The 27,089-nt window shown below is 37.3% G+C and overlaps 1 protein-coding gene across 10 annotated transcripts in view, besides 1 other annotated feature; it reads left to right on the top strand.

Annotated features, from left to right (window-relative positions):
- The first annotated feature begins 7,144 nt into the window (after positions 1-7,144).
- COX7B2 (cytochrome c oxidase subunit 7B2) overlaps positions 7,145-27,089 on the top strand; it is a 174,419-nt gene continuing 154,474 nt past the window's right edge. For 2 of the 10 annotated variants that reach the window (NM_130902.3, XM_047449721.1), the window contains exon 1: positions 7,145-7,230. The gene's annotated coding sequence lies outside the window, so the exon portion shown is untranslated. Of the gene's footprint in view, positions 7,231-12,018; positions 12,095-12,375; positions 12,515-24,164; positions 24,308-27,089 lie in introns of all 10 variants that reach the window. The other 8 variants (XM_047449720.1, XM_011513630.3, XM_011513631.3 and 5 more) reach the window with 8 other exon arrangements.
- Positions 26,604-26,898: a silencer, noted in NCBI's record as "tiled region #10756; K562 Repressive non-DNase unmatched - State 24:Quies". NCBI's record gives its function as "represses a minimal TATA promoter and a strong SV40 promoter by Sharpr-MPRA in K562 cells {active_cell/tissue: K562}" and the evidence as "EXISTENCE:reporter gene assay evidence [ECO:0000049][PMID:27701403]".

The raw sequence follows: 27,089 nt of genomic DNA, 5'->3' as shown, positions 1-27,089 counted from the left end.
CTTTGCATTTCTGCTCAAGTGATGGCCTTATTGCAGGCTTCTTGATCTTGTCTTTCCAGATTCACCCATTCTACACTCTGATGCCAAATATTTTTAAAGTTCATTTCTGTTCATTTCACATTTGCCGCAGTCTGTATTTGTTTCGGGGGATAAAATATAAATTCTTTACCATGACATGACATTTAGGGCCCAACACAATCACCTTTATCCTTTGCCTCCACCTATTCTATGACCTAGTCACCCAGGACTGCATGAAATTCTCTAAACATATCCTGTATGGACATACCTTGATGTTTTCTCAAGCTAAATCCTTCGCCTGGACTGCCTCTTTCCTGCTCTTGTCTTGCTGGCAACCTGTAAATCACAGCACTGGCCATCTTGCCTGCTGAGGCCACCTCTAAATTCTCCTTAGTGTAATTAATTCCTGGCATTTTCCTATGTTCTCCGTATCTACTTTGTGATTATTTGGTACAATTTTTTAATCTGTAAAGCAATTATATTTTGATAAATGATGAATACCCTCTGATCACAAGTTCACAGTTTTATCCTGTAAGTCTAACAAGATAAAAATCAATATACTCATTGGTCTGATGACAGAATGAGGGTCCTAGCATAGCACTTTGCAATTTGTAGGTTTAGTTTATTGGCTAATTTGAATTGTAAGTTTAGTTGACTAGTTAAAATCTAATCGCCTCACTAATGTCACCTTGCATATTTTATCAATAAAATGTTGATATTTTAATGTCAGAACTGACCTATTACAGCATGCCAACAATAATTTTCACTTTATTTATGTGTTTTTGATAATATAAAAATAGTTTTGATAACTATTTTTAAGAAATGGGCTAGACAAATTACTTCACACAGTTTCAGTTTAAGATTGTGTACTATGACTAAAACAACCATTTGTAATGCTCTGAACTAAAGATACTACAATGGATCTATAATCATAATTCTGATGTTTAGAGCAACTGAAGAGGGAGTCAGATGTAATTAGTCAAGAATGTTTTTGATGTTTAAATAAGTTGAACATGTCTCGAAAGTGTCTTACAGAAAGTTAAATGCTTAATATATTTTTTTTTTTTGAGATGGATTCTTGCTCTGTCGCCCAGGGTGGAGTACAGTGGTGTAATCTTGGCTCATTACAACCTCCACATTCTGGGTTTAAGCGAGTCTCCTGCCTCAGCCTCCTGAGTAGCTGGGGCTACAGGCATGCAGCATCACGTCTGGCTAATTTTTGTATTTTTAGTAGAGATGGGGTTTCACAATGTTGGCCAGGCTAAGTCTCAAACTCCCGACCTCAGGTAATCTGCCTGCCTTGGCCTCCTAATGTGCTGGGATTATAGGTGTGAGCCACTGTGCCTGGCCCTTAGTAAATATTGAGTGTTATTCCAGTTGTCCATTGCTTCTTAACAAAGTTCCTTGAAATTTGGTTAAAAAAAAAAGCATTGTTTTGGATTTTCTTATTCATTTTTCTGTGGGCTTACCTGGGTGATTCTCACTTGGGATTTCTTATGAAGTTGTAGTGAAATATTGCCAAAAATGGAGTCACAGTGCTTTTCTCACTCACAGGCCTGATGCCTGGGCTGAGAGAAGTACAACAGTAGTGGTTGTTTGAGGATCTTTCTCTGCAAATGGCTACATTGAGCTTTCTCATAGCATGGCAGTGTCAGAAGTCACACTTCTTATGTGGCAACTGGTTTCCCCCAGAGTAGGCATTCTAAGTGACAGGAAGTGGAAAGAGCAAATCCACTGCTGCCCAGCATACAAAGTAGCATACTGTTACTTCCGCCATATTCTATTAGTCAAAGTAGATACAGCATCCACTTCAATTCAGGACAAGGGGACATAGGCCTTGCCTCTCTATGGAAGAGAGTCAAAGTATTGGGGCCATCTTTAATTGTCATATATATTGACACTATCCAGTAGTCTATTTAGTGAATGTCATCATTTCACACCTGCTTGGCAGTTGAAAAACTGTGAAATTTAGATGCCTTGGCCCTAGATCCTCTACATTGAAGTGTCAAAAATATGATTGAGAATGGGCGTGGTGGCTCACGCCTGTAATTCCAGCACTTTGGGAGGCTGAGGCGGGTGGATCACAAGGTCAGGAGTTCGAGACCAGCCTGACCAACATGGTGAAACCTCATCTCTACTAAAAATACAAAAATTAGTTGGGCGTGGTGGCACGCACCTGTAATCTCAGCTACTCAGGAGGCTGAGGCAGGAGAATCACTTGAACTTGGGAGGCAGAGGTTGCAGTGAGCCAGGATGGTGCCACTAGACTCCAGCCTGGGTGACAGAGCAAGACTCCATCTCAAAACAAACAAAAACATGTGATCGAATAATTTGCCTTATAGTTAGTACATAATTGTGGCCTATGAAAAATAACCCAAGCTATCATTTCCCTTCGACCTGTATTATTTGGTATATTTTTGTGTATGCTGCCACTAACTAATAGTCAAACACTAATCCAGATAAGATAATTTAGAGGAAGAACTATTTATTTTTCGATGAAATCCATAGAGGATACATATCTCTACATTTATAACACATGAAACAAGACTGTGAGAGAACTGGGTCATAGATGTTTTTCTAGGCAGGGTGTTAAAATTAGAGGTCATTCAGGTTCTAGTAAAAAGAATTACCAGAGTAGAGGGGCTTCTTTCTAAACCTTCACTAAAAATCACCGTACAATTTAATAAATCAAAGAGACTCTGACCTTTGGGACTGTACCACTGAAGCTGTATCCTTCCTGCTCATATTATGCCATTCCCTTAACTGTCCCTTTAATTAGTTGATTAACTCCAGATCTGAGAGTGGGCAGTAACTAAGCCATTAAGTGGCATTTTGAAACTAGGCAAATTTGAAATTAGTTTTTGAGGTTCAAATTTCACAAAGTTGGATGGTCTATGCAAATAAGCAGCTCATATAATCTAAATAGAGATGTCACTTCTGTCAAATAACTTGCAAACCATTAGTTTAAAAAACAAAAACTTTCCAGAAAGCTTGAAATAGAGCCTTTCATAAAGTCATGTGGTCAGGCTGCAGGGCTGTGCAGTCTGGTGTCACAGATAAAATACATTTTACAAGTGCTAGTATAGCTAAATTATTAGTTTAGATTTGAATTTTCTTGATCAAGACATTATTTTATGAATTTTTTTTCTAAATTCCATTGGTTGTTCTCTTTTTTATCTTATTGAAATCATAGAATTACAGTATGGTAGTCAAAGAATAACAGCACGATGATAAAAATTAAAAGGAAATTTATTTCCTTGGATTCCTTAAACATCATGAAGTGTACATATAACACAAATGAACACTTTTGAAAAACTCCTTTTATCTCTCATCTTTTTTCCCCAGATTCCACATTTACTTCCATATCCTTGCCCCCAAATGTCTCTATGCACGTTTTCCTGAGACCTATGCCGTACACCACTCATCTCCTTATCCTTCCTGTTTTCCTCCTGGCCCTCTAATTTCTCCTCATATTCCATTACAAAAAAAAAAAAAAAAAGCTAACCTGACAGTTGGCCAAATCTGCTTTAGAGAGTTCCAATCACTCCTCTCCCTCAAATTGGATTTATGAGGGGATCTAGACTGAGAACAAAGGTGGGATGGTTGGTGTTTTGGAGATAGATGAGACTTATGTGAAAAGAAGAGGTGAGCACATTGTGCCTCTTCTCACTTCTAAGATTAAGACCTGGGAAGGGGCAGGAGATGGGAAAGTAAACAAACTTTGTGTTTTGAGAGAAGTTAGGGAGAGAAGATCTTGCCATAGGAGACTTATATGTGTTCTTCATCTGGCAAGTTCTGAAGGCATCAGGCTCACAGAAACATACTTCTTTTACATCTTGACATCTTGTTCAACACGGTATTTATCCCAGATGTTTTACTTTTGTTGAAAAATTACTATTTATGTTTGCATTAAAATAAGTCAGTGTGGATTTGTTAGATCTTGACTTTTTACTTCTAGTTTCTGCAATCATCTCATTTTAAAAATGTGAAATGTGTGCAGTAAACAATATTATGCCTTTAACACATGGACAAACCTGACAGACAACTAGCAATAGCCTGTTTCTGTTTATCTGACCTTTCCAGACCAAACCTTACTCACCACTGATATAGTTTGGCTGTGTCCCCACCCAAATCTCATCTTTAATAATAGCTCCCATAATTCCCACGTGTTGTGGGAGGGACCCAGTGAGAGACGATTTAATCATGGGGGCAGTTTCCCCCATATTGTTCTTGTGGTAGTGAATAAGTCTCACGAAATCTGATGTTTTTATAAGGGCAACCCCTTTCACTTGGCTCTCATTCTCTTTTTGCTGGCTGCCATGTAAGACATCCCTTTGCTCTTCCTTCATCTTCTACCATGATTGTGACGCCTCCACAGCCATGTGGAACTGTGAGTCAATTAAACCTCTTTCCTTTATAAATCATCCTGTCTGGGGTATGTCTTTATCAGCAGCATGAAAATGGACTAATACAACCACCATTCTATTAAATACATCATTAAGGATACTTACTAATAAAGGATGGTGGTCTGGGACACTAGCAGCACAGGAAAGTTAGAAAAACTATATTGTAAATATATATTTTATTATTTCCTAAAACTTACTTTAATTTATGCAGTCAAATTAAAAATTGGAAAATTCATTCTTCAAAAGAGGAAAACATCAGCTGTTATTGGGAATGTGATTTTATATGCAGTTCAAGCAATTTTAAAAATAAATTATTACTGTAGAATATGAACTTGAATTGGGAAGAACACAAGGTCCTAGGAGAAAATAAATATTCATAGTAAATTGAGAAACCTATGGGATAATTATATTCTTGGAATGGGCTGTGTTATGCACACAATTAATTAATGCATCTAAACTGCAATTGAAATATAAGCTGTAATTGTTAAAATTCACAAATAGAGTTATATGTAATAATTAGATGATCAATTTTTTTTGTGATAAAACTGGAATTGAGTAAAACAAACAAAAAAGTAGACTTAAACATAATAGCACGTTTCGTTTCTTTGTTGCTTCCAAACAGGACTTTAAAAATATTTGATCCTTAAAAAAAAATCTTTGTAAATAAACTTAAATTATCTACAAAAATAGTAAACTTTTAATGACAGAAAAAATTTGTTGAATTGTGTTAAAATCATTTGAAAATTTTCAAAGAATTCAATTGTTTTGCCAATAAAATACGGGTTTTGAAAATGTAGCAGACTGTAGTTATTAAAAACAAAGCCCATGACACAGGAAAATATTTAAAATACTCATTCAAAACCAAGGGATAATATGAACAAATTTAATTGGATCTTAAATCTTATATAATATTTAACTTTCACATTCTATAATTGTGCTTTGGAATATTTTAAATTTATATAATTTTTTTCATGGGATTTCTACTATAAGTAGTATAAATTCACATTTTTAGAGACATAAAATTTAAAAGGCTTTCCAATTTGCAGGATCTAAATTTGTTAAACCTTCAAAAGAGGCCGGGCGCCGTGGCTCATGCCTGTAATCCCAGCACTTTGGGAGGCCGAGGTGGGCGGATCACGAGGTCAGGAGTTCGAGACCAGTCTGGCCAACATAGTGAAACCCTGTCTTTATTAAAAATACACAAAAAATTAGCTGGGTGTGGTGGTGTGCACCTGTAATCCCATCTACTCAGGAGGCTGAGGCAGGAGAATCGCGTGAACCCGGGAAGGCAGAGGTTGCAGTGAGCCAAGAGGGTGCCACTGCACTCCAGCCTGGGAGACAGAACAAGACTCCATCAAAAACAAAAAAACAAAAAAACCTCAAAAGAATATAAATAACAACAAAATTAATGAAATTTGTCTCATACAAATATGTGCTGAAGATAGGTTACCTTACAGGCCAGAAGAAGGTACTTGCGAAAATATTTGGACTGAAAAAATTACATATTTCAAAATGAAAAAAATAGAAAGGGTATTTTCTGTTTAGCAGAATTTCTATGAGCTTATTTTCTCAATTTAAAATACTATAATACATGGTGAACAGTTAAGTGAAGATGTCAACAATTTGACATATATCACCCATAAAGTACATGTTTTAGAAGAGTATAGGCGATTTAAAAAGTTGACAAGTAATAATACCATATTAAAATATATTCTTTAGAAAATATCAGTGACCCAGTCTTATAGACCAAAACACTAATTAAAATACATCAGCATACAGCAAGAATGATCATTTTATTATACATATATATATTTTGAGATGGAGTTTCACTCTTGTTGCCCAGCTGGAGTGCAACGGCTCGATCTCGGCTCACTGCAACCTCCGCCACTGTGATTCAAGCCATTGTCCTGCCTCAGCCTCCAGAAGTAGTTGGGATTACAGGCATCCGACCCCACGCCCAGCTAATTTTTGTATTTTTAGTAGAGACAGGGTTTCACCACGTTGGCCAGGCTGATCTCAAACTGCTGACCTCAGGTGATCCACCTGCCTTGGCCTCCCAAAGTGCCATTTTATTATGTTCATATTATCAATACAGACTTTACAAAAAGTTTTAGCTTTAATATGTAATTATATCATTTTAATTTTTAGAACTAATTTCCTTTCCAAAATGAATTTTGAATTGCACTTTATTGGCCCACCAATATAAAGTCTCAAAATCTCAAAAAATAAGAAAACGTATAATTTTAATTAATTACATTGCCCTCTTTCACTCTCAAGGGTCTCAGTTTGGGCAAAATATTATGTGGTCATCATAATTAGCATCCTAGTATGCTTAGGAGAGATCAGATGGGCTACACGGGATTTATGACTTGCTTTGGGTTACAGGCAATCTCAAACTTTCCTAATCACCAAGTGGGATAAAGAAGTAACACGGAGCCAGGGGGCTTGCCAAGAGATAGCTGCGACATGGAAGGAAAAGATCCCAACAGGTGTCACTAGGAATTATGTTGGTAGGTAGGAACACCCATCTCAATTCTTTTGTTTGATTCATTACAGAGGGACTTATATTAGAAGAACTCTCCTAATGGCTGTCTTTTTAGTTCCTCCCGTGGAGATAGCAATCATCTATCTGATTGGTCAGTTTGGAACGCGCAGTCCTTCATGTGACCGCCTCTTCCTTTCACCTAAGGCGGAAACTGCTCACAGGAAGTACCTGTTTTACCCGACCCCTCCAGGCTGTAAAACGGAAAGGTTCGGAATTTGCCTCTGCGCCGTCTTTTTTTGCCTGTTACCTGTGACGTCCTTGGTAAGTTTGTCTCATTCTGGGGTTCGTTGTCAGTAAGCTGACAGTTATAAGACATGGTCTTCATTCATTGCTCTAACAGTTATCAGGAAATATTTTGAAATTTTTTTTTTTTTTTGAGACGGAGTCTCACTCTGTCACCCCAGGCTGGAGTGCAGTGACGCCATCTCGGCTCACTGCAAGCTCCGCCTCCCGGGTTCACGCCATTCTCCTGCCTCAGCCTCCCGAGTAGCTGGGACTACAGGGGCCCGCCACCACGCCTGGCTAATTTTTTTTTGTATTTTTAGTAGAGACGGGGTTTCACCATGTTAGCCAGGATGGTCTCGATCTCCTGACCTCGTGATCCACCCGCCTCGGCCTCCCAAAGTGTTGGGATTACAGGCGTGAGCCACTGCGCCCGGCCAGATTTTTTTTTTTTTTTTTTGCCACTTTCCTTTTTTGTTTCATTTCTCCCAGAGGGAATGGAAAGACGTTATATTTTGGACCTTCCTCTCACTCTGACATCTAGGACATAGGATGGGAGTAAAAGGAAAATTAAAAGGAAAGGAATTGCATGTTGCAGAGCGATTTGTGTAGTTGTATCTTCTGGCATGGCTAAAGTGGGAAGTGTTGCACTCTGGCAGAACTGGTCTAGGTACCGATCATATATGTTCAGCTGTAGTGGCAATTTTGCCCACAGGAGAGTAGCTGTTTGTATATAAGCAGGTTTGCATACCTTGGGCTGTGAGCAAAAGCCAATAAGCTTTGAGGGACTCAGCAAACAAAATCTGACCAGGAGTGTTGAGGCATCCCTATTAAACGGGTGTTGGTCACGTGATTATTGCTGCTTGGCTTTGAAATCTGTAGAGGCAGTTTTTTCTAAGTAGCCTTGACTGAGAGAAGGGTATGATTATAGTCTTTTTGTGTACGAGCCTTACAGATCTCAAAGTGGTTCTAGGATGGCCAGTGGTATTTGCAGGAAATGTTTAGTGCCAGGCCTACATAGGGGGCATAGATAGTCTGCTCAAATTCTGGCTGGGTGCAGTGGCTGACACCTGTAATCCCAGCAGTTTGGGAGGCCGAGGCGGGAGGATCACGAGATCAAGAGATCGAGACCATCCTGGCCAACAGGGTGAAACGCATCTCTACTAAAAATACAAAAATTAGCCAGGCGTGGTCGCACGCGCCTGTAGTCCCAGCTACTAGGGAGGCTGAGCCGGGAGAATCGCTTGAACCCGGGAGGCGGAGGTTGCAGTGAGCTGAGATCGTCTCATTTCACTCCAGCCTGGAAACAGAGAGAGACTCCGTCTCAAAAAAAAAAAAAAAAAAAAAAAAGTCTGCTCAAATTCTGATCTTTTATATTGTTTTGACTCCTCTTCAGAGACAAGAGATGGAAGTTTGGTGTGACAAGTCTTGGAGTTATCTGACTTGGCCATCGATTTAATAGTTGTTCCTATTTTTTTTTTTATCTCACAGTGGCTTTGAATTTAACAATTCTGTGTACTCTGGTCATAACTTTTGATCTTTGAGATTCACACTGTGACTCCACCCATAGGAGGTGCATATGGATATCAAATTACGGAGTTGGATATTAAATTAAAAAGCAATGGGAACCCTTCTTGTAAAGACCATATAGATTTTCATAAATCTTCATAAATTGAGGATGAGAAACCATTCAATACAATTATTGCAAAAACAGTGACTGAGAAAGCAATTAAAAAGTCTCATGATTGGAATATCTGGTTCTAAAAATCATTTTTGCTTAGGATTTTAGGTGCTAGCGTAGTTTAAAATTTATGCTTCATTGTTAATAGAGAGCAATGGAAAAATGGAAGCAAGAATAAAATAAGTTAGAGCTGGAGAAAAAGAAAAGTTTTTAGGAGCAAATTTGGGAAATTAGGACACCAGCTTAAGAGAAATGACATAGAAAATGAGATTTGAAGTTCAAGTAGAGGGAAATAGAGATTCAAGAGGATCTAAATGTTGTATGTCATAGGATTGGTAAAAGAAGAGTTTAAGAGTTTAGTTGTTACTTGATTGAGATAAGGACCTGAGTCAAATTAATCAAAAAGAGAAAGAGGCAAGATCTCAAATGGAATGGCTCCTTGAAAGAGAGTCAGGAAATAGGAAACTGTTAAGAAGTCACTGTTAAGGGATGACGTTAAAGGCAGAACTAAGACTAGGGAAATCTGTTGAACTTACAAAGTGTCATTAGGTGGTTTTCAAGGTAACATAGCCATTATAGATTTTGAACATAGTTACATTTTGTGCCTTGAAGGATTGTGCCCAAAAATTAGGATGCAAGACAAGGCTCAAGCAAGAGGGGCATATTGGAATGAGCCAGGCAAGAAGATAAATTCAGGCTTAAATAGACTAGATGTTGGTCTAATGAGAGAAAAGTTCCTGCATGGAACTATTTGTCTCAGGGAGGAAGAGGGGAAAATATGTGTTTGAATGGTAGATACTTTTAGTAAATTCAGAATTGAGTGATTTCATTGTTATTGATAGAGAAGAAGATTCTGGAACTTAAGAACTAGAGGAGTATGTTAGAAAAAAACTAATGCTTAGAAAAAAAATAAGGTAGTCAAGTATTCATTTCCAGCAAACAGCATTAATGCTATGTGTGTTGGAGAAGAGACCAAATTAATAAAAAGGTTAACCAGTTAGAAATTCAACTTCCTAAGTTGATTACATAGCTAAGAACAGTTAAAACTTTCTGAAAGATAGAAGGATAGAAGAAAATAAAAAGTAGAGGTGTGTTTCATTGTTGCAGAAAAATATGTAGCAGAAAAAAATGCTATTCAAGGTCTGTACAATTTTATGATGAAAGACAGGAGCACATGGAAAAGGAATTAGTTCTCTTTGGGCCCCTGGAGGCTCAGGCTTCAGGATCATCAGTTGCAGCTTCAATTCAGGAATCTGCTGAGAGTGATTTTCCAGCTGAAATAAATAGATGAGAGAGGAGACCCTCCCTGAGGGGCAGGTCACCAGCTTATCAATTCCATAACAAGAAACAGTGGAAAGAACTACTGTAATATAGGATTGAAATATATGGGGCCGGGTGCGGTGGCTCACGCCTGTAACCCCAGCACTTTGGGAGGCCGAGGCGGGTGGATCATGAGGTCAGGAGATCGAGACCATCCTGGCTAACAAGGTGAAACCCCGTCTCTACTAAAAATACAAAAAATTAGCCGGGCGCGGTGGCGGGCGCCTGTAGTCCCAGCTACTCGGGAGGCTGAGGAAGGAGAATGGCGTGAACCCGGGAAGCGGAGCTTGCAGTGAGCTGAGATTGCGCCACTGCAGTCCGCAGTCCGGCCTGGGCGACAGAGCGAGACTCCGTCTCAAAAAAAAAAAAAAAAAAAAAAAAAAGAAATATATGCTTATCAGAGATGGTAGGCTCTGTTTTGTAAGATAGAGTCCACCTTTAGCTGCACCAAAGTGGCAGAAACTGAGGGCTCAGAGAGGGAATGAAAATGAAAGTTTTAAAAACATATTGTAGAGGGAAAATTTTATACTTAATTAAAACCTGGTGAACTTGATTAGAAATTTTTAAACTTTTCTGTAAGGCAGGAATGTCTCAAATGTCATTCTCTGAGAGAGGCAACAGTATACTGAGTGCATTTTACTCCCAGGTAGGATGAATCGTTAATGTCAAAATTATCGTATTGATAGGAGTTTTCAGGATTTTGTGTTACTCACATAAATGACAAGCATCCTGATGAGGCTGCAACCAAGAATATTTTCATGTCCCCTTCTTCCTCTAGATGACATTCAGTTCCGGTTTCTAAGAACACAGTGTGCTTTGGGATAACTCTTTTAGGGTTTGGGAAAGTGGCTGTGTTGAAATTACATAGGTGTGGGGACAGTTGTGTTGAGTACATGTATTCTTTTAGTATTGTTTTTGAACCATACATTTGCGAAGTTAAAACAGATGGAAAAATGTAAATTTGACAAACCTTACTTCTATTCATATATTTACCCATGCCTACAGGTTCTATTTATTTAGTTGTTTGTTGCTTAAAAAAAAAAAACTTGTATAATACTTAAGTGTCCAAATACAGTCCTATGTACTTTGCAAATATTAACTCATTTATATCTTGTATCAACTCTCTGAGGTAAGAATTTCTATACTCCCCATTTTAAAAATAGGCTCGAAAAGGTTTTAATTTGAAAGTGGCAGAAGTAGACTTAGGCAATCTGGCTTCAGAGTCATAAGTAAGTAAGTAATCCATTTAGTAGGTTCTACCATACTATGCATACCTAATGTGTTGTCTTTTAACATGCAGACACATACAAATAGGAATCCATGTTCTTAATTTTTCCTTTTCTCTACAAAAGATAGCAAACTTCACACACTCTGCTCTGTACCTCATTTTTTTTCAGTCAACTGCATGTTTTCAATATGTGGAAAACTTTTCCTCGTTGCATGGAATTAATATTTTGTGATGTGAATGTATCATAAACAGTTTCCTGCTAGTGGATGCTTGCATGTATAAATTCCTAAAAGTAGAATTGCTGTATCAAAAGATAAATGCCTGTGTAATGTTTGTGTATTACCAAATTTCTCCCTGTATATGTTGTACTATTTTGCATTCTTCTTATGGTGTGAGATCTGTTTCGTTAACAGAGTATTATGAAAATTTGGATTCTTGACAATCTGATAAGTGAAAAATATTATCTCAGTGTTGTTTTAATTTGTATTTATTATTTAATAAGAATATGTGAATGAGTTGTATATCTTTGCATTTCTTTAAGGGCCATTTTAATTTCTTCTTCTGTGAAGTGATTTTCATTTTTTTTGACCATTTTTAGGAATTTATTACTGTTATCTCCATTTGAGTTCTAGCTGCTCTTTTTATATGATGGAGTTGAATCTTTTGCCTATCATGTGAGTTTGAAATATTTTTTCTCTAGTGTGTCATTTGTCTTTTGACCCTGATTTTTCTTTTAATATAGTACAATTTATCAGTATTTCCTTCTTTATGTAATGGGTTTTAGTCATTTAGAAATGTCTTTTTCACCCCAGATTTTAAAGGAATTTGTGTGTTTTCATTTAGTACTTCATGGTTTCATATTTCTTTCCCTTTGTACATTTAAATCTTTGATTCAGTTTTAGTTTATCAAAGGTCATAAAAATATGATAGAGATACAGCTCACCTTTTTTTGCAGATGATTATTCTTTTGGCTCTTTACAATGTAGCTAGGAAAAATTTGTCTTTGATGTGATATAATATCTGAATCCCTGGAGGAACTACAGTCATGCATCGCTGAACAGCAAGGATATATGTTCTGAAAAATGCATCATTAGGTGAGTTCATCATTCTACAAACATCATACAGTGTACTTACACAAACCTAGATGGTATAGCTTACTACACACATAGGCTATATAGTATAGCTAATCGCTCCTAGGCTACCGACCTGTACAGGATGTTACTTTACTGAATATTGAAGGTCCTTGTAACACAATGGTCAGTATTTGTGTAGTTAAACATATATAAACATAGCAAAGGAATAGTAAAAATACTGTATGAGATAAAAAATGATACACCTGTTTTGGGCACTTAGCATGAATGAGCAGCCTACAGGACTAAAAGTTGTTCTGGGTGAGGCAGTGAGTGAGTAGTGAGTAAATGTGAAGGCCTAGGACATTACTGTGTACTCCTGTTGACTTTATAAACCCTGTACACTTAGGCTACACTGAATTTATTTAAAAAAAAAAAAACTAAGTAATTGCGCTACAATGTTACAAGGACTACTATGTCACTAGTTGACGTGAATTTTTGAGCTCCATTTTAATATTATAGGACAGTCCATCATTGACCGAAATGTTGTTATGTGGCACATGACTGTATGCCCATTCCAAGTATTAAGAATGCCTCTGAGGTGGCAGAAGAATAAATTCATCATGATGTTTTATTGACTTTTACCTAAGCATTCTGATTTGAACATTTTCAAGGTGTAGCTCATAAGGGCATGAAAATTTGATAATGGACTTTAATTTCTTTGAGTGTTAATGGTTTTTTATTTGAATTTCCAAGGTGATTTAGTTTTTGGACTTAAATTTATTCTTGGGAATTTAATAATTGAAAGGGCTTATTTTCAAATTTGGCCTATCTCTATAATGTTAGAATTATATTCTTGGAATTTCTTAAGTTGTTTGATCTCATTGCAGGACCCTGATGTATTATGCTAGATATATACTTATCATAATTTTTGATAAGACACAGAATTAGAAATCAGTTTTCAGCCTTAGTTATAGAATGACTACAAATTTTTTATTTTTATTTTTATTTATTTATTATTTTGAGACAGGGTCTCCCTCTGTTACCCAGACTGGAGTACAGTGGTTTGATCTGGGCTCACTGCAACCTCTGCCTCCCAGGTTCAAGTGATTCTTGTGCCTCAGCCTCCCGAGTAGCTGGGATTACAGGTGTGTGCCACCATGCCTGGCTAATTTTTGTATTTTTAGTAGAGACGAGGTTTTGCCATGCTGGCCAGGCTGTAGAATGACTACAGATTTGATTTAATTTAATTAATGTAGTTTTGACCTACTTTGGAGAATTCGGGGTTCAAAAATCTTAACTGCTAACAGTGGTCTCAGAAGACAATACCTAAAGTCATAGATGGTGTAGGTGACTCATGAAATGGAAGAAGCAAAGAAGCAATGTCTTGATAGATTGCTGATTCCCTTCTCTGAAGGACAGCCATGCCGACTGACCATAAGCTTAATTATTAAGTCCAGTGGTTTAGTAGAACAAAAATGCTGCAGATTATTGGTATATGGAAGGGATTATAGAATGCTTTCTTTCTTTTTGTGATGTTTCCTTTTATGTGGAAGGTCCACTGTTATAACATGTTTGATCTCTTGACCTAACCTTTATGTGAGTAGTTAAGGGAGTTATATGATCGTCGACTTTAGAAGAAGAAACTAGAACATTGTCCTCCTTTTTTTCTTGGGATTCAGCTGTCCTCAGGAAGTTGCTCTGCTCTTCCATTTTACAGGGGTAAGAGAAGGACTTTCCTCATACTGTGTGCTGAGACTGAGTGGGAAGATCTGTATAATATTGGAAAACCCATTGCTCATAGATGTATTAGGCAGGGTTCTCCAGAGAAACAAAGCTAATAGGATATATAGAGATAGATATAGGAATAAGAAGAGATTTGTTAGGGGAATTGTCTAATGCAATTGTGGAGGCTGAGAAGTCCCATAATATGTTGTCCCAAGATGGGGAACCAAGAAAGCTGATAGTGTTATTCAGACGGACTCCTTAAATGTAAGAACCAGAGGAACAGATTGTGTAACTTCCACTCTAATACCCAAGGCCTGAGGACTCATGGGAGACCACTGATATAAGTCTTTGAATGTGAAATCTGGTGAACCAGAAGCTGCAGTGTTTGAGGGCAGGAGAAGATGGATGTTCCAGCTTAAAGAGAGAGAGAGTTGGCTCACCCTTCTCTGCCATTTTGTTCTGTTGGACCCCCAATAGATTGGCTGACGTAAGTCCGCATTAGTGAGGGTGCAGCTTTACTCAGTTTACTGATTCAAATGCTAATGTCTTCTGGAAACACCCTCACAGACACAACTAGAAATAATGTTTTACTAGCTATTTGGGCATCTTTAAGCCCAGTCAAGTTGACACATAAAATTAATCATACAATAGATTAAACTGTACTATCTAAATTTGTTTTATTAGATGCAGAGGTAATATATTGATCTCATCTTAGGACAACTCCTTTGTATCGCTAAATTGTTTAGAACTTGTGTAGGACTGCCAGTTACTGATTTTTTCTACCCCCAACTCGATCAGAGTGGGAAGCCTATGATAAGGACAATAGGATGATTTATGGGAAATATCTGTTGATTGAGAATGTCTCATAGCTGAGGTGGGAATCAAGTCCATCGGTGAGACCATAACTTTCAATACCTGCTCTAGTAGCAGTCCATGTTTAATATTCATGTTGAGGCAGTGTATGACAGGTTATATCACCCCAAGATATCACAAATAAAATGAACGAGGATCATCTGAATGCCACCCTTCATACCTCAATGTTACATATGCTTTTTCTGAAACCAGAATAAGAAATCACAGGAAAATCTGAATTTATAAGCAGATTGAAGCTTTATGCTAGGCTAGGTAATCAAAGGCAGAAATTATAATAAGATGTAATAATAAAGTTACATATTATACACCTGAAGTTCTAGAACTGCTAAAAATATAAAGTTCACATTATGTTGAGTTTTTAATATTTGTCTTTGTCTTTTTGGGGCTGTTATAACAAAATACCATAATCTGGGTAGCTTATAAGCAACAGTAATTTATGTCGCATAGTTCTGGGGACTGGGAAGTCCAAGACTTAGGTGCCAGCAGATTTGGTGTCTGGTGAGGGCACCATTTGCTTATAAATGACATCTTCTTGCTGTATTCTCACATGGTGGTAGGGACAAACAAGCTTCATTGGGCCTCTTTTATAAGAGCACTAATTTGATTAATGAGGGTGACCTATCAAAGGCCCCCACCTCTTAATATCATCACTGTGGGGGTTAGAATGTCAACAAATGAATTTTGGGGGGAACACAAACATTCAAATCATAGCAGTATTTGTTTTTATTAATTTTATTCTGAATTTGAGGTGCCCCATATCAGTAACAGATTTCTTAATGAGAAATAAGACCCCCCTCCTCCCCTGCCACCAGTTCTTACATTTCTGGTGAGACAGTGAGAGCCAGGTCAGTTGTTCTACTCAAGAAGCCAAACTACCCATGTGAGAACAAGAAAAAACAGATTTTCTCTGCTTATTTAAGGGCAAGGAGGCAGCTGTCCACCTCTCTTTCTGCAAGGGTATCCTTGGAAACATAATGGGCATGATTCCTAACTCCAGCACTTTGGTATGTAAATAAAAATCTCCAGAGGAGCCACATAGCCCTTTGTGTCACAGACCTAGAGATGTCTCCAAGCCCTGGCTCTTATTCTTCCTTAAAATATAAATATCTAGGAATTTTCTGCTCTATGCTTTCACCGAGTAACTAGGTAAACTATCCCAGTATGTAACCTTTTGATTTTGGGAGAGCTAAGTTTAATTTTGGATCAGAACAGTTAGCTCCATCATTAGGGAAACAAATTGCTACAGATTTAATCCTTGTGGTATGTGAAAATGTTTTTATGAGAAATGAAATTAAAGATTTTCTGACTATATAGTGAATATATTTCCATGTTGAAGGAGGCTTGGGCTTTTTATAGGAACACTGAGAAATCTAGGGTTGTTTTATTTCTCCACATATCCAGTACATGACTTTTTGTCATTTGTGCTTCATAAACCTGTTAACACTATACCTGGAGCATAGCAAGTACTCTACAAATGATAGCTATTATAATAATTACTATACTTATTATTTTAAGATGTCAAAAATGCCTGTGTAATTGTTGCAGAAATAATCATTCAAATGGAAAATACTTTTACATTTATTTATTTTATTTATGAAATGAATTTGTGGATGAAATTTAAGTTGGATAAAGTCTATCATGAGCCTGGAGACCTACAGAGAAGAATCTGTACTTTCTCATGAAAGGCCAACTATTTAGCTCATGACTTACAATCTCTCTCTCATTGGCGAAAAAGCACCCACCACATACATAAAGGCACAGATCACACACACACACGCACCCTCCAATTGTTAAGCCTGTCTTCTTGAAGTGCATTTAGATTTTCTCTTAGGGTTTTATCAAAATGGATTTTATGCCTATCTAGGAATTGAGACTGAATCTATTCTCTTACTAGTAGCTAAACTCACTAGTTAGGAGATGATTTCTTGCTTGCCTTACTTAACTCATCTTTTAGATTCTAGTTACAAGGTTTCACATTCTTTTTATTTTCTAATACTGTGACACTTTTTCAAATAAATGGGTACTGAAATCTAGCTTGAAAGACACAATTGCTACAGATGGAATTATTAGCATACAGTATAATATAGTATATTTTAAAGCTATAGTAGTTGAAAAAGGAGAGGGATCAATACAGGTAGGTTGGAGTAATTGTTAATTTTTAGTAGAGGAGAAGGATAATGAGTTGGGCCTTATTTTGTATAAGAGGTAAATAAAGAAGATAGCATATCAACAATGGGAATTGATAAAAACTAAGATCATTTCTTGAACATAATTTGTTAATTTTTTTCTCCACCATAGTAAAATACAGCAATGAACAAATAAGAGGTGATGAACAGTCCCTTCCTTCATGAGGTTACACTATAGTAGGTTTATGGTACACTGTGTTCATTGATTAATTCTATCAGTGAATTTGATAATCTAATTTTATGATCAGGGAGCAGAAAGATATATGCAAAAGGATATAGGGCTAGACCAAAGAGTGCAAATCAGATGCTACAGGCAATGTTTTTAAATAGGGAAGTGAAATAATAGGAAACAGTATTTTATGAATATTTATCAATGGTAAATTGAGTGGACTGGGCACGGTGGCTCACGCTTGTAATCCCAGCATTTTGGGAGGGTGAGGCCAGTGGATCTCTTGGGCCCAGGAGTTTGAGAACAGCCTGGTTAACACAGCAAGACCCCGCCTCTACAAAAAATAAAAAAATAAAAAATTAGCCAGGCATGGTGGTGTATGTTTGTAGTCCCAGCTTCTTGGGAGGCTGAGGGGGAAGGATTGCTTGAGCCCAAGAGAATGAGGTTGCGGTGAGCCATGATCACACCACTGCACTCCAGACTGGGTGACAGAGCAAGACCCTGTCTCAAAAAAAATAATGAATGATGAGATGGAGAGACATTTGAATCAGGATGGCCAATTAGGGAAATACTGGAATAATTTAAGAGTAAATGATAAGAGCATCTAATATAGATTTGGCTTTTGGAGAAGAGAATTCAGAAGAGGAGTCCAAAGTTCTTGTAGACCTAAGTTATGAATGGAATAAAAGAATTAATTCCGAGATAGCTTGAGGATTTGGAGAAAATAATGTAAATTTGGAAGGGAAGGTGGCAAGTTAATCTTTATGCATATTTAGATATGGCCAATGACTATATCCAGGAGAAAAATCCCTTTAGACATTGAATATGTAGTACTGGGATTCTAGGGAGGAGATACAGGTTCAGACTTCTCCAACCTAAAGGTGACAGCAGTCATGAGAATGAGTAAGCCCTTTGTGCTATAAGGCCAAAAATTAGGCTTAGAGGCAGCCCATAGAGAGTTAGAAGGAGAAATGGAGAGGTGGAGGTCAGAGAACATAGCCAGCATAGTTAGGGAAGCTGAGGAAATTATAATGTCAAGTTAATGTGGTTAACAATACCAGATTTAATGTGAGGTAAGAGAAAATGAAGTCTGATAAATTCTCATTAACTTTCTGGTTTAAAATATTACCCAGGGTAGGGGTGAGGTGTTTAGTGGGGGACCTGATCTCTTGTGTCCATGTAAATTTACACTTTAAGCCACTGTCATCTGTTATTGCAGACTGATTTGTCTGATGAATTGGGAATGGGCTATTTAATTTGAGCAGTGGAGAGGAAGGAGGGATAGAAGTATGGAAGGGGATAGGACAGCAGTGCTGAGTTGACAGCCGTAGGGATTACCAAGGGGTGCATGAGACAGAATACTTGAGAGAGAACAATAACAGACTAGTTACTAATTTTGTGTTTTCTGATCATATTGGGGACAATGAAGTACTCTTTATTAGCCACAATTAAAATGCTGTCCGTTGAATGGAAGTAAAGGAAAGGTGACTCAGAGAGACACAACTTTTCTTAATACTCAAGAGGGGACACACTTAGCATTCTCCTGAGACAGAGAGAAAGAATCCAGCTGAGCTGGTGTTGGATTGATTTTTTTGATGTGGATATAGATGAGAAGAAATCTGGAGAGATATCGATTCATTTTCTTTCTTAAGACCTGAAACATTGGTGGTGGGGAGAAAGGAGTTGGAACCTTTATTTTACAAGAGCTGGCAGTTCATGACAGAGCCTGTGGCCTGAGTGACCTGTATTCCCAGACAGTTGCACCTGTCTTGACCCTGTTTGTTCCTGGTTCTGTTGTCTGTGCCCCTGGGGTGAGGCTAACATAGGACATTTGGGAAGCCAGCCATAGTCTACAAAACAAGCCTTCAATTGTCATTTTAATGGGTATACTATTTCACCTTAATTTAATTTCCCTACCTCCAAGAATATATCTTGTTTTGTAAGTTCAAAAGCTGACACATCTTCCAGAGAGACTATTTATTTTCCCTATCTTCTTCACACAAAGGCTGAGATTATTCTTGCAACAGTAATCAAGATCTTCTGTCTTTGGGTTGCAAAGAAAATGCATTCAACTGTACTTGAAAGAGAAAATTGAAATTCAGCTACAGATGATAAAGCACATTCTCCTTCTCTTTCAGTTTTGTCTGTCATATCAGCTGAACTGCATTAACAAAAGCAGAGGGTGCCTGTTGCTTGCTATTGGCAAAAAATACAATATTCATTGTCCAAAACTGTGTATGAGGTGTGTTGTGGTTTACTTCTATTAAGGATTCTTGTTCTTCTAGTCCTTTTTTTTTTCTTTTTTGTTAATTCTAGCATGGTATAAAATGAACCAGGAAAATAGTCCCCAGAGGAAGGTTTTTCCACTAGCTTTAATGGCTGAGCAACTGTGAGTCTTTTAAAAAATGATCAAATCTTGAGTGTGATTGGCTTGCCTATATTCCTATTTTAACAGTTTTACAATGCTGGTGTAATTGTTTTAGGAAACATGTAGACTTATTAGCATATTTAATGCTGGCTTTAATTATTTATTGCATTTATTGGGTATGTAAGTCCTAAAATTGTCACTGGGTACATCTACCAATAGCATAACTGCTACAGTGATAAAAAGCATCTAGAAATAAAAGTAGGTTGGTACTACTGAGATAGAGATTTCCATAAACAAAAGGTGCATTGCAGAATTTTCTTTTTCCCCATTAGACAGTCTCATGGGCATGCCAGTTGTGAAACCATAGTCAAATTTATAGATATGCAAAGGTAAGAATAAAATATGAGTTTATACTCAGGTATACGCAGTAAGTAATTATTTTTAGTCAGCTATATAACAAGAGGCCAGTGACACAAGTCTAGGCAAAATTGTAAAGTAGGAATAGCTTATGTTCGGATACTTGTAGCCTGTGTTTTGTGTGTTTAATAATAACTTCTCCAGAAGCTTCCTTGGTTTTCCTCTCCCCTCCAAATTTACTTATTCTCAAGAAGAGATGAAATGTATTCACACTGAGGTTTAACTGATAATAAAGGTGGTGAAAGTGCAATAGAAAGAACTCTTTGAGACCAACCAGTCCTGGCTTCAAGTCTAATTGTAATTATTTTCTAGCGAAGTTATTTTGCTGAATTTCTCCCTTAGGGAGATCAGGATTTGGTGCAAATGGAAGATTATACAATTTGGGGGGGGCCTTAAAAATACAAAACAATGTGTATAAATTAAGAAAGTGATTATGTGTAATTACACATGAAAATAACAAACTCCAGAAAAACAAATAATTTCTAATTAACTTCCTAATACTTAAAAAAACTTTTATTTTAGGTTTAGGGGTATATGTGCAGGTTTATTATATAGGTAAACTAGCGTCATGCGGATTTGTTGTACAGATTATTTTGTCACTCGGGTACTAAGCCTAGTACCCAATAGTTATTTTTTTTCTGTTCTTCTTCTTCCTCTTACTCTCCACCCTCAAGTAGGTCCCAGTGTCTGTTGTTCTCCTCTTTGTGCCCATGAGTTCTCATCATTTAGCTCCCACTTATGAGTGAGAACATGTGGTATTTGGTTTTCTGTTCCTGCTTTAGCTTGCTAAGGATAATAGCCTCCAGCCCCAAACATGTTCCCACAAAAGACAGGGTCTCATTCTTTTTTTATGGCTCCGTAGTATTCTGTGGTGTATATGTACCACATTTTCTTTATTCAATCTGTTATTGATGGGCGTTCAGGTTAGTTCTATGTTTTTGCTATTGCAAATAGTGTTGCAGTGAACATTGGTGTACATGTGTCTTTATAATAGAATGATTTATAAACCTTTGGGTATATACCCAATAACGGGAGTGCTGGGTCAAATGTTAGTTCTGTTTTTAGCTCTTTGAGGAATCGCAACGCTGCTTTCCACAATGGTTGAACTAATTTACACCACCACCAACGGTTGCTTGGCACAGCTCCAACAATTGCTCAATAACCTCACCAGCATCTGTTATTTTTCAACTTTAAAAAAATAGCCATTCCGACTGGTGTGAGATGCTATCTTATTGTAGTTTTGATTTGCATTTCTCTAATGATCACTGATATGCACCTTTCTTTCACATACTTCTTGGATGCATGTATGTCTTCTTTTGAAAAGTGATTATGTCTTTTACCCACTTTTTAATGGGGTTGTTTTTTGCTTGTACATTTGTTTAAGTTCCTTATAGATGCTGGGTATTAGACCTTTGTCAGATGCGTAGTTTGCAAATATTTTCTCCCATTCTGTAGGTTGTCTGTGTACTTTGTTGATGGTTTCTTTTGCTGGGCAGAAGCTCTTAAGTTTAGTTAGATCCCACTTGTCAATTTTTGCTTTGGTTGCAATAGTTTTTGGTATCTTTTTCATGAAATCTTTGCCCATTCCTAAGTCCAGGATGGTATTGCCTAGGTTGTCTTCCAGAGCTTTTAGAGTTTTGGGTTTACATTTAATCTTTAATTCATCTTGAGTTGATTTTTGTATATGATACAAGGAAGGGGTCCAGCTTCAATCTTCTGCATATAGGTAACCTGTTATTCCAGCACCGTTTATTGAATAGGGGGTCTTTTCCTCATTGTTTGCTTTTGTCAGGTTTGTTAAAGATCAAATGATTGTAGGTGGGCAGCCTTATTTCTGGGCTGTCTATTCTGTTCTGGTACCATGCTGTTTTGATTACTGTAGCCCTGTAATATGGGTATTGAAGTCGGGTAACATGAATATTTTCAGCTTTGTTCCTTTCACGTAGGATTACTTTGGCTATTCAGGCCGTCTTTTGGTTCCATATAAATTTTTAAATGGTTTTTTCTAGTTCTGTGAAGAACATTGTTGGTAGTTTGATGGGAATAGCATTGACTCTGTACATTTCTTTGGGCCGTATGGTCATTGTAATGATATGGGTTCTTCATATTCATGAGTATGAGATGCTTTTCCATTTGTTTGTCTTCACTGATTTCTTTGAGCAGTGTTTTTAGAATTCTCATTGTAGAGATCATTCACCTTCCTGGTTAGTTGTATTCCTAGGTATTTTATTCTTTTTGTGTCAGTTCTGAATGGGATTGACTTCCTGATTTGGCTCTTGGCTTGGCTGTTGTTGGTATATAAGATAATTCTTTTTCTCACATTTTTTAAAACTATATACTCTTTGATTATTTTATGTGACAACATTTTATATCATTGTCTGTAGAGAGAAGAGAAAGATATTTTGACTTTTTTAAAGAAGAAAGATTGGTGCTTTTTGTTAGACTGGAGAAGTTTCTTCTACTTTGCTGCATGTTTTTGGAAATGCCACATTTTTTGACTTTATCCATGGATTCTCACTTAGATTGCTTCTTGTCCATGAATAAGCCTCTAGCATTTTGAAATTTCCTTGTATTCCCTCATTGATGCAATAGCTGCCACAGCTATTGCCACAGAACTCATTCAGGCCTGAATGTATTTCTTAAACATTTATTCAGTGTTTTCTTTCTGCCATTGTGCCGAGTCTAGAGAATAAACAAATGAAGGAGGCATTTCTGCCCTTAGAGAACTCACAGGCTAGTGCAAATGGATATTTTATAATGCAATGTGAACAGTTCAACAGCGAAGTATGTACAAAGGGTATAACTTATCCGTGGAGGGAATTTCAACTGGCTGGTATAAAGCAGACCACTTGTGTAAAATGCTATAAAGGAACAAATTTTTATAGCCAAGTAAGTTGGAAAGACATATAATATTACATATTCCTCTCAGACATTCACAATGCCCTCACCATCATTAAGGCTCTAAGAAGTCCTACACCTAAGAAACCTGTTTAATGGTTTAACTAGGCATTCCTTAACTCTACTTATCCATGTGTTAGTCTGTTCTCATGCTACTACAAAGAAATACCTGAGACTGGGTAATTTATAAAGGAAAGAGGTTTAATTGACTCACAGTTCCTTATGGCTGGGGAGGTCTCAGGAAACTTACAATCATGGCAGAAGGCACCTCTTCACAGGGCAGCAGGAGAGGGAAGAATGAAAGCCATGCAAAGGGGGAAGCCCCTTTTAAAACCATCAGATATCCTGAGAACTTACTATCATGAGAATAGCATGGGGGAAATCCCCCCATTATTCAGTTATGTCCCACTGGGTCCCTCTTGCGACACTTATGGGAACTACAACTCAAGATGAGATTTGGGTGGGGACACAGCGAAACCGTATCGGTCCATGAAAATAATTACTTCCACAACAACGAAAGTCAAAACAGCTAGTGGTCTGGACATAAAATGACCTATTTCACTCCTTATTTTCTGAAGATGTTGAGGCTACTTTGATTTTCTCTGTTGATAAGGAGTCATTTTTTTCTGATTATGGAAGTTTATGTGGGGATGAAGCTCAAGGTTTTGGGTGAAAGAGTCAAGTGTTATTGCATAAATCACCTTGTCAAGTACCCCAAGGTGCAAGGCTCTATCTTCCATATAAGCTGATGGGGAAGTCATTAAAGTAACTCATATGCAAAGAATACATGTCACTACATGTTTCAGTTTCTGTATCATGGCCAAGCCAGTACACACCTCATGTAAAATGTGTCATGAATTTCCTCATGGATAATAGAAGTAAAGATACATGACAGTGATTCAAAACATGTCTGTCTATACTGTCTACATATAATAACTCATGTGACATGTCTGATGTACTTACTCCACTAACCTTTTAAAAATCAATAAAGTTGAATAAACAATTAGTGTAATATTGCTTTTCTTTTCTTTTTAGTCTATACCATAATCTATAACAGTGGTACCAGTGGCCCCGGTAGTTAATATCACAGTCATGAAGACTCACAGCCTATTGTAGCTAGCAAGAGGGAATCCATGACTCCTCTGGGAAGAAAGGTGATCATCTTTTCTTTGACATTGGTATGTTGATCAATTCATTCTGTGGAACCTGTGGGTTGTACTCCAGTAGAGTCCTTAGGATGGTCTCTCCTGAAGGATGCCCAACAGTAGCTAAAAGTAAATTTACCAGAATAGAGTGAAAAGGTAAGGAAATAAATGAATACATAAGATATGTGTTTCGCAGAGCTGGACCAAAAGAAACCTACTTAGATCTGAGGCTCATTTTCTCTTCATTGTGTCAGAATAGTGTGCCTGCAATTTAATTTTGTTTTACAATGCTCACAACCAAGCTTGGCTTGCAGGATGTATTGCCCTGAAACATCTGTGGTCTCTTCAGCTTTTCCTGAATCTTCCGTTATTGCCTAGTGACACAGGTTTGAAGAGAAGGGCAAGAAGCTAGAGTGGATGAAGGGCTAAACAAACTTACCAATAATGGGATGACACTGAATTCACTGGTCTACTACATGTATTTCAAAGGGATGTGGAAACTTCATTTTTATCTAAGGTAGTGTGTTTCCACCAGGGCTCTGAGATCAGAAACAAGACATGGAAACTTTAAGAAGTATTATTCAAAGTTCATTCTCTTAGATAGTTTTTTCAGTTGACTTTTGGGACATCGTTCTCTTACTACTTTCCCTCCTTGCCTCATTGCTGCTCCCTGTCAATATTTTCTGCTAGATCATCTTCTTCATTATGACCTCTAAATGTTGAAGTCCCGAGGCTCTGTCCCTGGACCCTTTCTCTTGTTTAAATGTGTTCACTTCCTACATTATGTTTTAATTACCATCTGTATATGGAAGATTCCCCAGGTTCTATTTATTCCTTGAATCTTTCCCTTGGACATCAGACTCATATTCAAATGTCTACTTAAATATGATATATCCAAACTTGATTTCTTGATCTGCCAAATCTGTTTCTACCATGATGTTCTCTTTCAAGTAAACAGTAACGTCTAGTTACTTAGGTGAGAAATTTTGGGATAATCTCTGTTGTCACTCTTTGGTTCACATCCCACATCGGCAAAACTGTTGGTTCAACAACTTTTGAAGTTTACTCTGAATGTAACCATTCCTCTTCATTTCCACTGTCACCACTTTCATCAAGACAGCATCATCTCTAGCCTAGATTCTTACTTTATCCTTCAACCCCTTGCATTTCGTCTTGCCTCCATTTAGTTATGTTTTACACATGACCAGAAAGATCCATTTAAAATGTAACTATGCTATTATCCTCTGTGCAAAATTCTCTAGTGACTTATTATACTGAATAAAATCCAAAATCCTTACTATTTCCCAAAGCACTCCATTAGCTGTCCCCAGACTACTGTATCTTTCCTCACTGTTCTCCAAGCATTGTTACTCAATACTTTAAGAACACTCCTTCAGAGTTTTTGCACTTTCTAGTCCCTCTGTCCAGAATGCTCTTTATCCAAATGTTCATATGGTTTGTCCTTTCACTTCTTTAATTCTGTGTTTAAGTGTCAGCTTGTCAGATAAGACTTCACTAAATATCTTGCTGAAAGTAGCATCCTTTCTCAATTTTTCTTAATATTTTTGTTGCCTACATCCTGATAAAATGTAAGATCTGTGAGAGAAGAGACATTGTCTAAATGTTTCATTTGTCCTCTTTTGAATACCCAGAGTATAAAATGTTTTGGCATAGGAACTGAGTAGTCCCTCAGTAAATATTTAGGTAATGAATTAATAAAGCATCAATTGTGTTCTAGGGGTTCCATCTGCTTTACAACAATGCCCTTTCTATTGGCATAGGCAAAAAGAATATGGCCACAGTCAAATCTGTTATAGTTCGCAGCTAGTTGCCAGATCTAGCTTTTAGCAGCTAATCTCTACTAGAACGGAAGCCAAATCCTTGTGATTATGCAAACATAGCATGTACTAAGGAAGGCCTAGACTTACTTTTCTCTTTAAAGACACTAGAGTAACATAAAGCTTTAGGACTCATTCCAGATTCTGCTCAGTGGGAGCTTAAGCCTGCTGTCTGCTTTCTTCATTATTATTAGATCCATTATTTCTGGACCTGAGCTCAGTTGGCCACGTAGGTTAGAGGTGTCAATGCTCAGATGAGTTTCTTACCATTCAGGATGCTGGCATATATTTCTTTTTTGGATAAGTCATTTTTTTTCCCTCATAATAAAAGTAACCCAGACTAGATTCATTAGGAAACATTAGGAAAAAAAAAAAAAACCATACTGAAATGCAGAAAAGTACTCAAAAATTCAACTCCTTGGAAACAACTATTATTAACATTTAGATGAATTTCATATCAGTTTCAGAGTGTGTGTGTGTGTCTGTCATTGTAGTGAACCAAGAATATTTACTGAGCACCTTTGTTCCTGTACTAAGTAAACTTAATTAAAAAGCTGAGAGAATTTGACTTTTTGCCCTCATTATCAGCTACTCCTCAAGAGGCATTCCTTTTGTTTGAAAATTATAGACTTTGTTCTGTCCACATTGCCATTACCCATTGATTGAATGTGTACTTGTCCTCTTTTCATACCTTTCTCACCTCTCTGTGGCTAATATTTGACATACAGTGCTCATGGCAGCCTTGCCTATCTTGCTTCCCCGTTTGTCAATTATTTCTGCTTAGACAAGCCAGAGAAGCATCGGAAAACAGAATTAATCAATGAAAGCTTGAGTTAAAATGTGTGAGAGCATCCCTGACTTGAAGAAGAATGTAGTATTGTGGTGTTAGGTCTGGTTGACATGGAGAAGAGTTGAATGTTAAGACTACTTTGTGACAGTTCCTACATCCAGGGAATAGGTGACAGGCTTATTGTAGG

This window comes from Homo sapiens, chromosome 4 (genome assembly GCF_000001405.40).
Source record: "Homo sapiens chromosome 4, GRCh38.p14 Primary Assembly".
Classification (NCBI taxonomy): domain Eukaryota; kingdom Metazoa; phylum Chordata; class Mammalia; order Primates; family Hominidae; genus Homo; species Homo sapiens.
Note: the sequence above shows the minus strand (reverse complement) of the source record. Positions and strands in the feature narration are given on the sequence as shown.